The sequence below is a fragment of the Homo sapiens genome, chromosome 5 (assembly GCF_000001405.40).
Source record: "Homo sapiens chromosome 5, GRCh38.p14 Primary Assembly".
In the NCBI taxonomy this organism is placed as follows: Eukaryota; Metazoa; Chordata; class Mammalia; order Primates; family Hominidae; genus Homo; species Homo sapiens.
Genome location: NC_000005.10, coordinates 95,232,324 through 95,248,018, shown reverse-complemented (window position 1 = coordinate 95,248,018; position 15,695 = coordinate 95,232,324). Strand labels below are relative to the sequence as shown.

The 15,695-nt window shown below is 37.5% G+C and overlaps 1 protein-coding gene and 1 long non-coding RNA gene across 21 annotated transcripts in view; one reads left to right on the top strand and one right to left on the bottom strand.

Moving 5' to 3' along the window:
* MCTP1 (multiple C2 and transmembrane domain containing 1) overlaps nucleotides 1-15,695 on the top strand; it is a 581,405-nt gene that overhangs the window by 37,076 nt on the left and 528,634 nt on the right. The window lies entirely within an intron of this gene.
* LOC105379085 (uncharacterized) overlaps nucleotides 1-15,695 on the bottom strand; it is a 121,023-nt gene that overhangs the window by 11,578 nt on the left and 93,750 nt on the right. For both annotated transcript variants that reach the window (XR_948575.3, XR_948576.3), the window contains 2 exons: nucleotides 13,453-13,610; nucleotides 11,044-11,251 (listed from right to left, as the gene is read on the bottom strand). This is a non-coding gene — a long non-coding RNA (uncharacterized LOC105379085). The remainder of the gene's footprint in view (nucleotides 1-11,043; nucleotides 11,252-13,452; nucleotides 13,611-15,695) is intronic.

Here is a 15,695-nt window from a genome sequence, read left to right as displayed (position 1 = left end):
ATGTTCCATCAAAACCTAGTTTATTGAGAGTTTTTAGCTGTTGAATTTTGTTGAACGAGACAGAAGGTTAACAAGGATATCCAGGACTTGAACTCAGCTCTGCACCAAGCATACCTAATAGATATCTACAGAACTCTATACCCCAAATCAACAGATCATACATTCTTCTCAGTACCACATCACACTTATTCTAAAATTGACCACATAATTGGAAGTAAAACACTCCTCAGCAAATGTAAAAGAATAGAAATCACAACAAACTGTCTCTCACACCACAGTGCAATCAAATTAGAACTCAGGATTAAGAGACTCACTCAAAATCGCACAACTACATGGAAACTGAACAACCTGCTCCTGAATGACTACTGGGTAAATAACAAAATGAAGGCAGAAATAAAGATGTTCTTTGAAACCAATGAGAACAAAGACACAATGTACCAGAATCTCTGGGACCCATTTAAAGCAGCATGTAGAGGAGAATTTATAGCACTAAATGCCCACAAGAGAAAGCAGGAAAGATCTAAAATCGACACCCTAACATCACAATTAAAAGAACTAGAGAAGCAAAAGAAACAAATTCAAAAGCTAGCAGAAGCAAGGAATAACTAAGATCAGAGCAGAACTGAAGGAGACAGAGACACAAAAAAACCCTTCGAAAAATCAATGAATCCAGGAGCTGGTTTTTTGAAAAGATAAACAAAATAGGTAGACCACTAGCAAGACTAATAAAGAAGAAAAGAGAGAAGAATCAAATAGATGCAATAAAAAATGATACAGGGGACATCACCACCGATCCCACAGAAATACAATCTACCATCAGAGAATACTATAAACACCTCTATGCAAATAAACTAGAAAATCTAGAAGAAAGGAATAAATTCCGGGACACATAACACCCTCCCAAGACTGAACCAGGAAGAAGTTGAATCTCTTAATAGACCAATAACAGATCTGAAATTGAGGCAATAATTAATAGCTTACCAACCAAAAAAAGTCTAGGACCAAATGGATTCACAGCTGAATTCTACCAGAGGTACAAAGAGGAGCTGGTACCATTTCTTCTGAAACTATTTCAATCAATAGAAAAAGAGGGAATCCTCCCTAACTCATTTTATGAGGCTGTCATCACCCTGATACCAAAGCCTGGTAGAGACACAACAAAAAAAGAGAATCTTAGGCCAATATCCCTGATGAACATTGATGCAAAAATCCTCAATAAAATACTGGCAAATTGAATCCAGCAGCACTTCAAAAAGCTTATCCACCATGATCTGTCTAATATTGACAGTGGGGTGTTAAAGTCTGCCATTATTATTGTGTGGGAGTCTAAGTCTCTTTGTAGGTCTCTAAGGACTTGCTTTATGAATCTGGGTGCTCCTGTATTGGGTGCATATATATTTAGGATAGTTAGCTCTTCTTGTTGAATTGATCTCTTTACCATTATGTAGTGGCCTTCTTTGTCTCTTTTGATCTTTGTTCATTTAAAGTCAGTTTTATCAGAGATTAGGATTGCAACCCCTGCTTTTTATTTTTTTTTTGCTTTCCATTTGCTTGGTATATCTTCCTCCATCCCTTTATTTTGAGCCTATGTGTGCCTTTGCATGTGAGATGGGTCTCCTGACTCTTTATCCTATTTACCAGTTTATGTCTTTTAATTGGGGCATTTCGTCCATTTACATTTAAGGTTAACATTGTTATGTTTGAATTTGATCCTGTCATTATGATGTTAGCTGGTTATTTTGCCTGTTAATTGATGGAGTTTCTTCATAGCGTCAATGGTCTTTACAATTTGGCATGTTTTTGCAGTGGCTGGTACTAGTTATTCCTTTCCATATTTAGTGTTTCCTTCAGGAGCTCTTGTAATGCAGGCCTGGTGTTGACAAAATCTCTCAGCATTTCTTGTCTGTAAAGGATTTTATTTCTCCTTCACTTAGGAAGCTTAGTTTGGCTGGTTATGAGATTCTGGGTTGAAAATTCTTTTCTTTAAGAATGTTGCATATTGGCTCCCACTCTTCTGGCTTGTAGGGTTTCTGCCGAGAGATCCGCTGTTAGTCTGATGGGCTTCCCTTTGTGGGTAACCCGACTTTTCTCTCTGGCTGCGCTTAACATTTTTTCCTTCATTTCAACCTTGGTGAATTTGACAATTATGTGTCTTGGGGTTGCTCTTCTCCAGGAGTATCTTTGTGGTGTTTTCTGTATTTCCTGAATTTGAATGTTGGCCTGCCTTGCTAGGTTAGGGAAGTTCTCCTGGATAGTATCCTGAAGAGCGTTTTCTAGCTTGGTTCCATTCTCCCTGTCACTTTCCGGTACACCAATCAAATGTAGATTTGGTCTTTTCACATAGTCTCATATTTCTTGGAGGCTTTGTTCATTTCTTTTCACTCTTTTTTTTTTTCTAATCTTGTCTTCATGCTTTATTTCATTAATTTGATCTTCAGTCACTGATATCCTTTCTTCCACTTGATCAAATTGGCTATTGAAACTTGTGCATGCATCACAAAGTTCTCGTGCTGTGGTTTTCAGCTCCATCAGGTCATTTAAGGTCTTCTCTACACTGTTTATTCTAGTTAGCCATTTGTCTAACTTTTTTCAAGGTTTTTAGTTTCCTTGCGATGGGTTAGAACATGCGCCTTTAGCTCGGAGAAGTTTCTTAGTATGGACCTTCTGAAGCCTACTTCTGTCAACTTGTCAAAGTCATTCTCCATCCAGCTTTGTTCCCTTGCTGGCGAGGAGCTGTGATCCTTTGGAGGAGAAGAGGTGCTCTGTTTTTTGGAATGTTCAGCTTTTCTGGTCTGGTTTCTCTCCATCTTTGTGGTTTTATCTACCTTTGGTCTTTGATGTTGATGTTGGTGACCTACAGATGGGGTTTTGGTGTGGATGTCCTTTTTGTTGATGCTATTCCTTTCTGTTTGTTAGTTTTCCTTCTAACAGACCCCTCAGCTGTAGGTCTATTGGAGTTTGCTGGAGGTCCACTCCAGACCCTGTTTGCCTGGGTATCACAGGTGGAGGCTGCAGAACAGCTAATATTGCTGCCTGATCCTTCCTCTGGAAGCTTCATCCCAGAGGGGCACCTGCCTGTTTGAGGTGTCTGTCAGCCCCTACTGGGAGGGGTTTCCCAGTCAGGCGACACTTGAGGAGGCAGTCTGACCGTTCTTGGAGCTCAAACGCCATGCTGAGAGAACCTCTGCTCTCTTCAGAGCTGTCAGATGGGGACGTTTACATCTGCAGAAGCTGTCTGCTGCCTTTTGTTCTGCTATGCCCTGCCCCCAGAGGTGGAATCTATAGAGCCAGTAGGCCTTGCTGAGCTGCGGTGTGCTCCACCCAGTTCATGCTTCCCAGCAGCTTGGTTTACACTGTGAGCTACTTAAGCCTCAGCAATGGCAGATGTCCCTCCTCCCGTCAAGCTGCAGTGTCACAGATTGATCGCAGACTGTTGCGCTAGCAGTGAGCAAAGCTCTGTGGGCATAGGACCTGCCAAGCCAGGCATAGGAGGGTATCTCCTGGTCTGCCGGTTGCTAAGACCATGGGAAAAGAGCAGTATTTGGTCAGTAGTGTACCATTTCTCCAGGTACAGTCTGTCACGGCTTCCCTTGGCTAGGAAAGGGAAATCCCCCCACCCCTTGTGCTTCCCGGGTGAGGTGATGCCCCGCCCTGCTTTGGCTCATCCTCCGTGGGCTGCACCCACTGTCCAACCAGTCCCAATGAGATGAACCAGGTACCTCAGTTGGAAATGCAGAAATCACCTGTCATCTGCGTCGATCTTGCTGGGAGCTATAGACCGATATACAGATGTACATTTATACTTCAGTTTGTTCATGCATTCACCTGTTAATGGACCTTTGAGCTGTTTCTACTTTTGTATTCCTATTCAGCCATCTTGGAAGCAACCTATTACATTTAATAAAGGGAGGCATTATCCTTAGGAGACTGTACGTTAAAAATATCTTCTCTCTACTCTGTAGGGAGATACTCTCTCTGTCTTTTAAGGTTGCACTGTATAAACATCCTAGAGATGATTTTCTAGAACACCGGCATCCAGTTAGTGTCAATATGTGAAAGGCGAGGCACCAGTGGAGAATCGTCTTCGAATACTCTCTGTGTTTCCTCTTACAGTAAATGGTATCACCATTGTCTTGGTTGCCCAAGACAGAAAGCTGGCCATCTTGTTTAGTTCTCATTCTTTATTCATTCATCTCTTTATTTAACTTAGTCTTAACTTTCCCTGCTTGCCACTTCCAATCCATCACCAAATTCTTCCCATCTTACCTTTTTAATATCTCTTGGACTCGTTCACCTTTTTATTCAGAAGCAACCTTGGTTTTCAGTCCCTGTCATCTCGAGTGGATTACTAAAATGGTGTCTCTCTCTCCAGTTTTGTCTTATCTAACGTGTTCTCCAACTAGAGCCAGAATTTTCTTTTCTCCTGCTTTCTTAAAATGTCACTGATTCCTCATTGCTCTCAGGACAAAGTCTAACATCCCTGTAATGACATATTAGACCCTTTGTGGTCTGGCTCCTACCTATCTTATTTCTCAACACTACTTCCTCAGACTCTATGCTCCATTCATGCTGTGGTTCCCCAGGTTCCGTGATGACTCTTTTCAGAGTGCTGAACGTCCCTCTTTTTCCTCACATGTCTACCTCTTTCTCCTCTTTAAGTCTCAGCCCAAATATCACTTCTTCTAACTGGACTCACCTCATTTGTTCTCCTTCTTTCTAAAACCACAGATGTATGCCATCTATTGTTCTGGGTCTGAAAACTTATATTTTTCCAATTTTATATTTCCCTCTTTTTTTCTATTTTAAATCAGTCTCATCTTTTCTTATCATTGGGAATTTTCTGTGAATTCTACTTATCCGTTACTTTCGTAGTTTGTCCTGATCACATCATCAGAGACAGATGTCTAACAAAGCCAAATTTCCCTTGTATCACAGTCTTAAGAGGAAGTCAGGGTCCTCATGTCATGTCTCTGTGTCCCTCCTAGTGCTGGGATTCATCTTGCTTATGGATTCACATGTCCTAAATAGTGGAAGTTCTAATTTTCACAGGACCTTTAGTGACTTTTTATGGGGGTGGCATTTTATGAGCAGATAGTTTTTAAAAACAGGTTTATTGCAGCATAATTATCAGACAATTTCACATGTTAAAAGTACACAGCTTAATGAATTGTGACGTGTACATCCATGTAAAATCATCACCACATCAAGATAACAAACATTTTGATGGCTCTAGAAAATTTCCTTGTGCTCCCCTTTAATCTCTCTCTGCCTTCATCCCTTTCCCTAGGCTACCACTGATCTGACTTATGTCACCTAGATTTAATTTTCAATTCCTAGAATTTTATATAAGTGAGATGAAAAAGTATACGTCCTTTTTATTAGGAAGTTTGGATTTTTATCACTCAGTGTAATAATTTTAAGATTTATTCATGGCATTTAATAGTTCATTCTTTTTTCTTGCTGAGTAGTATTCCAACGTACAGATATACTTCAATTTGTTTATGCATTCACCTGTTAATGGACCTTTGGGCTGTTTCTACTTTTATGTTATTACAAATAAGGCCAGAAATATAAAATTTATTATTACTTCCAATAGAATATTCTCTTATTGCATCTCACAATTTTGTATTTGAGGGCTCTTGTTCAAAAAGTGACCTTTAAAAAGATGCCAACCATTAGAAAATTTTCAGAATCTCAAATTTCCAAATGACTGAGTTTGGATAATAGTTTTCCACTTTGTATTTTTATTTCTCTCTTTTTAGTAATCCCTCGCCAGAAATAAGTAGGAAACACAAAAGGGAAAAAAGGTAAAGAAAAATGTAACAAACTAGATAAATCAATCTAGTTTTTGTTGGTTAGAAGATAAATCTATTCATTTCTTAGTTAAAAATAGCTACAAGGTTGTTAGTTTTAAATGAATAAGGAGGACCACTTCATTTGAATGAAATGATGATAAGCATTTCTCTGAGGACTTTTTTTCTCACTAAGCCTTTGCATAGGCGTTTTGATTCATAAAGGTGTTGACGTTCATTAAACTTTATACTCATTTTATATTTTTATTTTCTTTGCCTATTTTCACTCAGTGAGAGACTGTGGTTCAGTGTTTCCTTTTTTGGAAAGCATGTAACTTTCTAGCTTTTCAGACTATTTTGCTTTGCGGAATTGTGCTTTAAATCTCCCCCAGAAGGGGAAGTGACTCATTTCTATACAGTAGCATGTAGGTGTTTGATGAATGTTGCTGCCAGGTAGAAATAGACTGTAATGCCAGTGTAAATGGAGTTTTACAGCTACTAAAATTTGAAGGATTTCAATTTTCTTAGGAATTTAATTGGGGAAAATTACTTCAGAAGTTTGCAGGAGCACTATGTTCTGAGGGAGAACTTTGAGCAAATAGAAATATGGTATAAATGTTATGAAATTGCTAACAGCCTAATGTAAGAATAATGTGGTCTTTGAGATGCTTTCCCCCACTAAAATATTGGCTAAGCTTTAGCAGGATGAGGCTCTAGGTGTAGTTTAAAACTTCTGGCTCTTGTGAATTCAGAGGAATCTCCAAGTCTATGTGTTTTTCAAGCTGCTATGGTTTAAAGGAAATGAGTTGTACAGTTATCTTCCTATGCAGACTTCTTAATGTTCTAAAAATAATGGCATTATCCTCATTTTAGAGACCATAAGTTGAGTTACAAATATGACATTGTCCTGCAAAGCAGCTGCCATACTGAGATGTGAGAAAGATCTTGACTTGTGTGGAAAGACTGATGTCAATGTTTTGGATGCACATTTCCCACATGGATAGGGTTTACTGAATATGAAGGATAATAATAGAGAAGATATTTGGCTAATTAAAAGTTTCTTTTCCTAATAAAGCTAGATTTCAATAGTTATAACTGTACCTAGAGCAATACCTTATTATATAGTATGTGCTCAATAAGGTTTCATAAAAATAAATGAATTTAAAACAAAGTACCCCCCAAAATTAGAATCTCTGGTTGGTTTAGAATAAAAGATGGTAAATAATTTTATAGTATAAAATATCCTACTAGGATATTTTCTAATATGTAGTCTCTCTCAATTAAAATGAAGAAAAGAGGTGGGTGGAGAGAGAGAGGGAGAGAGAGAGAGAAGACAACAAAAAAGGAAATACGAGGATTTAACTAGTCAGAATTTAAGCTGTAAGTATGAAAAGAATGTGGATAATAAAAGGAAGATAAGAGATTCTAAAGGTAGAGGAATGTTTAGATTAAACCTAAAATGGCACACTGCTAAGACTTCAGTGTACATGACCAAGTTTTAAACCTGCCAGCCTATACACACCTAACAAAGATCTCACAAAAATAAGCCTGCACTGATTTGATAGATATGTTTGCTGAATATTTTTAAAAGTCTGTTGAATATTCACTATTTGTCAAACACTATCCTAGACAAATAAGGTAAAGCATCTACCCTCAAAAGGTCCATAGTGCAGTGAGGGGAACAGAAGCAGACCAGAAATTACTGTCAAGGGCTTAGGGATGGATTGAAGTTCAGCCTTGGCCTCACTGCTCCACCCAAACCTTGAGAAGTTCTCAGCCTTTGAAAGCTCAAGAGCAAATGCCCACCTTCACTTTGTTTCTGCCATCCCTGAACTTGCGTGTGAACACCAGGTTAGCATCATATCTAATCTATACTACTACATCTCTTATGTGTGCAAGGCATGATTCTCAAACTTAAGGTCAGTATCTGAATATCAGCTTTTAAATGCAGGTAAGCATTGTAGATATAACCTAAAATGAAAATAGCCTTATGTTATTTTTATGTCAAATGTTGAATTCCAAAAAATTAAATAGAAATAGGCAAATTGTACAAACATTAAGAGATACTGATTTCGCTAGTTAACTATATGAAGAACATTATATGTTTTCAATACATATACAGTTATAAAAATTATGAAATTTGTATGTAAATAAATATATATTATAAAAGTTTAAATGCCAATGCAAAGAATAATAATACAGATGAGATCATAGTATATTTCCAACCTTTGTAGAATCGTTAACCCATATAGAAAACTTTATGACTCAAAATTTCATGAGGAGGAAAAATTGGATAAAAATGTGTAATAACATATGTAAGAAATCTTCAATTTGACATAATAAAAAAATTAAAAATGTGAAGAAGAAAATGTTAGAAAAAGTGTGAGGAGAGAGATACAGTGGTATAATAAAATGAAGAGCCTCATAGGAAGAGAGATCATCTGTCCTAATCAACTATCAAAAGCAAGTGACCCTCACCTCTTTCCACCCTCTCAGTCCTTTAGAAATTAGAAAAGCAAAGAAGAGAGTAGTAAACATGTACCCAGGAGTTTCTGTAACTTAATACTGGAAAATACCTATATCAAGAGAAAATAATTAGCAAAGTCATTGAACATCTTTAACCCAAGCCAGGTAGCCTCTGAATTAAGACATTTAGTCTTCAATTACAGACCTCTAGGAATGACTCCTGTTTCTGTTTTGTTTGATTTTCACAAGTCTTATAATTCATCCCCAGAACTAGACTCATCAGATATGTCTGGTGGCAACATCTTTAATTAAACTCTTTATTAAAATCTACAGCTGTCAAAATAAATAAACCTTAAAGCACAGAAATAAATTTGAGAGGGCTTTTCCATTAAGGCATTACCTGGAAGAGATTTTTCCAGAAAATTGAGTGCTCGGACAATGATCACTGTCATAATTTGGGCTAATTGTGGTCATAGAAAGTTTAGGAACTTGAAAACCCCCAAAGCCTAAACTGATTTAAGACTGCCTATTCTGTTTCTGCGCGTCTTCAGGAGATTTCTCCAGGGTGCTTAGATGTGCATCATAACATTTTCAGAATTTTGCCACTGGAGGGCTCAATGGCCTTTTTAATGTTTCTTCTACGAGACCAAATGTTACGTTTGTGTAACAGTGAGATGTGAGACCAAGTTTTTTCTCCCCTTTTTGAGAAAATCTGTTTTGGGTGGTACAGTTAGATGCATGATAGCCAAAAAGCTTTTGTAAATTCCCTGAAAGATGGAAATTTGTCATAGCTACATGTATACTGAAATCAAAAAGGATGCCATTCATCTCTCCCCAGAGAATACAAGGGAATTGAGATTATACCGAGCAAGGCTTGTGCTGAGTTAGATGTGCTGCATATACGCGGTGTGCTTGTGTATGTATGCTGGTGGCAGTGTGGAAGGTGGTGGAATAGTGAGGGCTTAGGGGTCTGTAGTCATCCAGGAATTGTATGATTAATGTAGTTGGTATGAGAATGAGAATAATTTTAAGGACTAATTGGAAGAATATGAGGCTTGGTATCAGGCGACTAGTGATCATGCATTGTTCCAGGATTCCTGCTGCATGTTCGGTTATAAAGGTTGTGACGGCAGTTCTGCTTTTCCTGAATGAGCTATGTGTGCCTGTGGTCCAACCTCTCTGAGGCTGGTCCTGGATCCTGGACTGAGCAAGTGAACTCTGATATGAGTGACACATTGATTTGGCATCTGCGTAATTTTTTGTGATGTTTAGGAGTAACAATGAGGTGTTATGAAAAAAGTTGGAAACAGTGTTAGCCCCCATGCAAAAGTATAAAATCAACATAAAGCAGAGAGATAGAAATATCAGAATGCCTCTCCCAGAATGTAGCAAAAACGCAATTCTATTACATTTGGTATATGATTAAGAGTTAACTATAAACTAACTGAAAGATTCACGTATTTAATGATTAATAATAATATACCAATCCAAAGACAGATGGCTGCTCAGACTGAAACCTCCTTGCAGGTAGCGGAGAGTCAGAGAAAGAAACTGTGGAGAGGCTGGCCTAAGAACTGCCCAAGGAGACCGGCATGGGAACGTCAATTCTTGTGACTTTCTCACATGGCGATGGATGTTTGTTTCTTCTAAAATTTTGAATCACTAACAAATTTCCCTTGTTCCGATTTCATGCTGCTTCTGCTACATTTGGTTTATGAGTTGGCCTTTCATAGATTTGCTACTGCAGAGAATGTACTGGTCATATCAATGTGAATATTCAGATCCATATGTCAGTTATGGTTTGCAGATTGGCCCAGCATCTCGTGTGGCATGCTGAAGGAATCAGGCTCTGTCTTAGCAGAGTCAAAAACAAGGCTCTGGATCATGGTGAATTACCCAAGGTAAATGCTATTTCTTAGGCTACTTGCAGCTTGCCAATTGCCCATTCCAATCTCTACAAGTCCCACTAGATGTTTCACAGAATAAAGCAAAAAAAGAGGCTGGGATCACGAAAATGAATTTTCGAAGAGAAATATCAAGAATTATAATTATACATTTTCTCATCATGTTTTATTAATGAATCAAAGGAGTTAGTGAGCATTTATTTTCCTCTCTTGTGTTCCACTGCAATTTGCCAGGGAAATAACATGGACTCTTTCTCTCCCTTTCAACTCTGGTTTTCTTGCTGTGAAAGAGCAGCCATAACTTCTAGCAAAGGTTCCTGAGGGAGGCAGCAAGTAGCCACCCAGGAGCTTTAGGATGGGGCTTCCTATCTCAGTCGTGCCTAGAGGAACTGAAGCAGTTCTTAATGTACTGGTTTGAGGTCCGTCTTACCAGAGTTCCAACCCACCGCATGTCCCTAGTGGTCTATTACTTACTCCGTTATTTTTAATGGCAAAAACCGTTACTTTTAATGGTTACTTTTGCACCAACCTAATATTTCACAGCCACTCTCCTGGATGTTTCTGGGGAGCTTCAGTCTAGGCTCAGACATGGTGCCTGCTGGTTCTGGGAAAAGGTTAAGGGGCTGAGTAGTAGCACACACTACATCCTCCAGACTGTCTATGCCATGGCTATGTTTGGAAACCCTGCAAATGGCCTGGCAGAGTCTCACCTTGCCAATCCAGAGAGGATGTGGGGGATTTCTGGCTTAAGAATAGGCTGAAAAGAGGGACTGGAGGTTACTGCCACATAGCCAAGCATTCCTGGGAACTTTCTGGGAATGTGAACTGATATGAAAATGGCTTAGACTACAAGAATTATAGGGAAATATCAGAATACCCACCTAAAAATGGCTTAAATAAGAAGGCCATTTTAAAGCTTACTTCATGAGGAATTTTGAAATAGGCAGTTCCAGGGTCAGTTTGGCTGCTCAACAGAGTCTTCAAGGACGGAGGCACTCTTCATAATTCTCTTCTGCCATCATCAGGATTCAGTGAAATCTCCCTCTATGGTCACAGGATGACTCCAGCAGTTCTGATTATCCTGGGTTCCTGGATGTGTTATGTGCATTTTTATAAATGTTTTTGTGATTTTTCGGAGGGAGACAAATAGTAGACAACTCAGCCCATATCTACTATTTGTGGGATGTTCCCATTATCACCCAACAGGCTTCATCTTAGGTATTTTTGGTCAGAACTAAATTGCATATTGACTTTTTATACCGTAATCAGCAAAGACTATATATAACCTCTATCTGGACCAATCACAATTGACCTCCTGGGGATAAGCATATGGCTACTAGACAGTCCTCACGGGAAGTAAGGGAGAAGACATAAAGGAAGATGGCCAGCTATTAACTATTTTTTCCAGGATCTGAAAAGAAAACTGGGTTAAATTACACTAAAGAGAATTTAGAATGGCGTTTAGGAAGAAAGTGCAGACAAGAAAGTGGTATTGTACAATGGATCACATTATTGAACTTGTGCATATATATTCCCTATCTTCTAAAAACAGAATGAATAGATTTTGACTAGGACATAATTCATCCTTGCTTGGAGCTTGGAAGATGCAGTAAATTACCTTAAAGCATTTTCTTCATCATGTTGTTAAGAGAATATCATCAGCAAGGAATTAGTTAAGAATTGTATTAAAATTGTAAAAATGGGCATGGCCTCCTCTGCTTTGAAAGATCTATAAGTTCAGAAGTCCCAATCTGTTCCATTTTTGTGACCGTGTTCTTCCAGTTGAGTTAGTCTTAAACTTTACTGTGTTTAGAATTAATTGGGAGCTTGTTAAACATACAGATCCTTGGGCACCACTTTCCATAAATGTTGCTTCAGTAGGTTTATTAGTTTTCTGTATCTCCATAATTAATTATTAAACTTAGTGACATAAACAATAGATATGTATTATTTCACAGTACTGTAGTCAGAAGTAGCTCAGGGAGGCTCAACTAGGTTCTCTACTCCAGCTCTTACAAGGTTGACATCAAGGCATGAGCTGCACTGACCTAGTAGCATTTTTGTAGAATCATCAGATTTTCCACAAAGATGATTATGTCATCTGTGAATAAAGACAGTTTTACTTCTTCCTTTTTTGGTGAATAAGCAATAGGTATTTATTAAATGAGCAGATGGAATAATTATCACAATGTGATACAGTTACATTTTCATTATTATTGCACAATACACTTTTTAAAAAAAATTTCTAACTTTTATTTTAAGTTCAGGCGTATACATTCATGATGTGCATTTTTCTGGAAGTTTAAGCCAGCATAGTAAGGAAAGAAAGAAAGAAAGTGTTTCTACTTCTTCCTTTTTAATCTAGAGGCCTTTTATTTCTTTTTCTTTCCTTACTGTGCTGGCTTAAACTTCCAGAAAAATATTGAATAGAAGTGATAAGAATGCACGTCCTTTTCTTTTGCTAATCTTAGGAAAAAAGCATTTAGTCTCTCTTCATTATGATGTTAGCTGCTGGTTTTTATAATGTCTTTTATTAAATTGAGGGAGTTTCTTTTTATTATTTGTTTGGTGAGAGTTTTTATCAGGAATAAATGCTGATTTTTTGTCAAGTGCTTTTTCTGCATCTATTGAAATTATTATGTGGATTTTATTTTTGTGTTTGTTGATATAGTGAATTACATTGATTTTTGAAATTAATGTTAAATGAACCTGGCATTTCTGAGGAAAACACTGCCTGATAATAATATTAATTTTATATATTGTTTATATATTGCTAAAATTTTGTTTTAAATTTTGAATCTATGCTCATGAGCTATATTGGTCTATAGTTTTCTTATAATGTCTTTGTTTATCAGGGAAATAATGGCTTCATAGAATTAGTTGGGATGTATTTCTTCTTCCTCAAATTTTTTGGAAGAGTTTGTGTAGAAATAATATTTTTCATCTTTAATGTTGGTAGAGTTTACTAGTGAAGCTATTTGGGCCTTGAATTTTTTTGTGTGGGACAGTTTTTTTGCAAATTCAATTTATTTGCTAGCTATAAGGCTATTCAGTTTATCCATTTATTTTTGAAGTCAGCTTTGGGAGTTTGCATCTTTTAAGGAATTTGTCTATATCTTCTAAGTTGTCAATTTTGATTGAGAATGTCATTTTTATTCCATTATTCTCCTTTTAATATTTATAGAATGTGTAATAATGTCACGGATAAGTTTTAAATATCTATGTTTATTCATGTTATCACAGAAGTAGACATGAGGTTTCAGGAGTAGGAATAGACTATTATTACTCACAGCAATAACTGCGTTGGTTCTCGTTTCCTCAGTCTTTCCCTCTTCTTGGAGGATGAGAGCCAGAAGTCACCCAACTTGTACTGGTATCTGAACTATATAGGTGAGGAAGGATAAAAATTCGAATCTAGGGATTTATGTAAATCTTGACTCTTCTACTCCTGAAAGACAGAAATTTAAGCTTCTCAATGTAAACAAATTCACCCTGGGAGGAAAGGGAAAGATTACTGGGTTATTACCCTTTGGAATATAAAGAAATATCTCCAGGTGGAAGATAAGTCTTTGTGTTTACAACCTCTGAAATATCTCTATGGCTCTGTGTCTCAGCCCTCTTTGAAATGTAGGCACATGCCTTTGAAGAGGTAAATCTTTCTGGATGGTCTCTCGTTATTGAATCACCCTTTAACTCCCAAGATTTGTTTGTTGACAAAAGTTTCAAGTGTATTTGCTCAGAAAACCCTAACTGCAAAAATATAAAAATATTCTTTCCTTGGAAGTCACCTCTCTTACTCTGACATTAGAAATTTGTGTCTTCTCTCTTTTTTTTTTTTTCTTCTCTGATCTGCCTGGTCTGGCTCAAGGTTTATCAGTTTTATTGATAGTCTCAAAAACCTAGCTTTTGGTTTCATTGACTTTCCCCACTGTTTTTCAGTTTTCTGTGTTATTAATTTCCCATCTTCTCTTTGCTGTTTCCTTTTTTCTGCTTACGTTGGATTTAAGTTGCTCTTCTTTTTTAAATTTACAAATGTGATAGCTGAGGGGATTTGAGAACCTTTTGCTTTTCTATTATAGACATTTAATGCTATAAATTTCCCTCTAAACACTACTTGAGTGGCATCCCTCAAATTTTTATGTTTTCATTTTTATTCAGTTTAAAATCCTTTCTAATGCTGATTGTTTTATTCTTTGACTTATGATTTATTTAGAAGTATGTCATTTAGGGCCAGGTGCGGTGGCTCACGCCTGTAATCCCAGCACTTTGGGAGGCCGAGGCGGGCGGATCACGAGGTCAGGAGGTTGAGACCATCCTGGCTAACACAGTGAAACCCCGTCTCTACTAAAAATACAAAAAAATTAGCTGGGCCTGGTGGCGGGCACCTGTAGTCCCAGCTACTTGGGAGGCTGAGGCAGAAGAATGGCATGAACCCAGGAGGCAGAGTTTGCAGTGAGCTGAGATCGTGCCACTGCACTCCAGCCTAGGTGACAGAGCAAGACTCCGTCTCGAGAAAAAAAAAAAAAAAGAAGTATGCCATTTAGTTTCTAAATATTCAGGAGTTTCAAGAGATCTTTTTGTTCTTAATTTCTAATTTAGTTCCATTGTGATTAGACAGTATCTTTTGTACAATATGGATCCCTTTAAATATATTGACGTTTGTTTTATGGCTCAGGGTATTGTCTGTTTTGGTAAATATTGTGCGTGCACTTGAAAAGAAGTGTTGGATATAATGTTCAACAAATGTCAGGTCAGGTTGTGTTGTTCAAGCCTTCTATACTTTTACTGGATTTCTGTCTATTTATTCTACCAATTATTGGAAAAGAGTTGTTGAAATCTCTGGCTATAATTGTGGTTTCTGTATTTCTCCTTACAATTCTATGAGGTTTTGCTTCATGTCTGTTGAAGCTCTGTTGTTAGACTCATAAATATTTAGGATTATAATGTCCTTTAGGTACACTGGCCACATTATTATTTTGAAATAACTTTCATTTTCCCTCATACTATTCACTATTCTGCAGTCTACTTTGTCTAATATTAATATAGGCACTTCAGCTTTCTTTTGATTAGTATTAGCATGATACATCTTTTTTTCATAATTTTATTTTAACACATTATGTCTTTAAATTTAAATTTCTTGGGAGGCTGAGGTGGCTGGATCACAAGGTCAGGAGTTTGAGACCATCCTGGCCAACATGGTGAAACCCCATCTCTACTAAAATACAAAAAAATTAGCTGGGTGTGGTGGCAAGCGCCTATAGTCCCAGCTACTCTGGAGGCTGAGGCAGGAGAACGGCATGAACCTGGGAGGCGGAGCTTGCAGTGAGCCAAGATGGGGCCACTGCATTCCAGCCTGGGCGACAGAGGGAGACTCCGTCTCAAAAAAAAAAAAAAAAAAATTAAATTTCATTTCTTGTGGGCAACATATAATTGGGACCTTTTATTTTACCCAATCTGACAATTTCTACCTTTTAATTGAGAGTATTTAGGCCATTTATATTTAATATTATTATTGATATGATTCAGTTAAAGT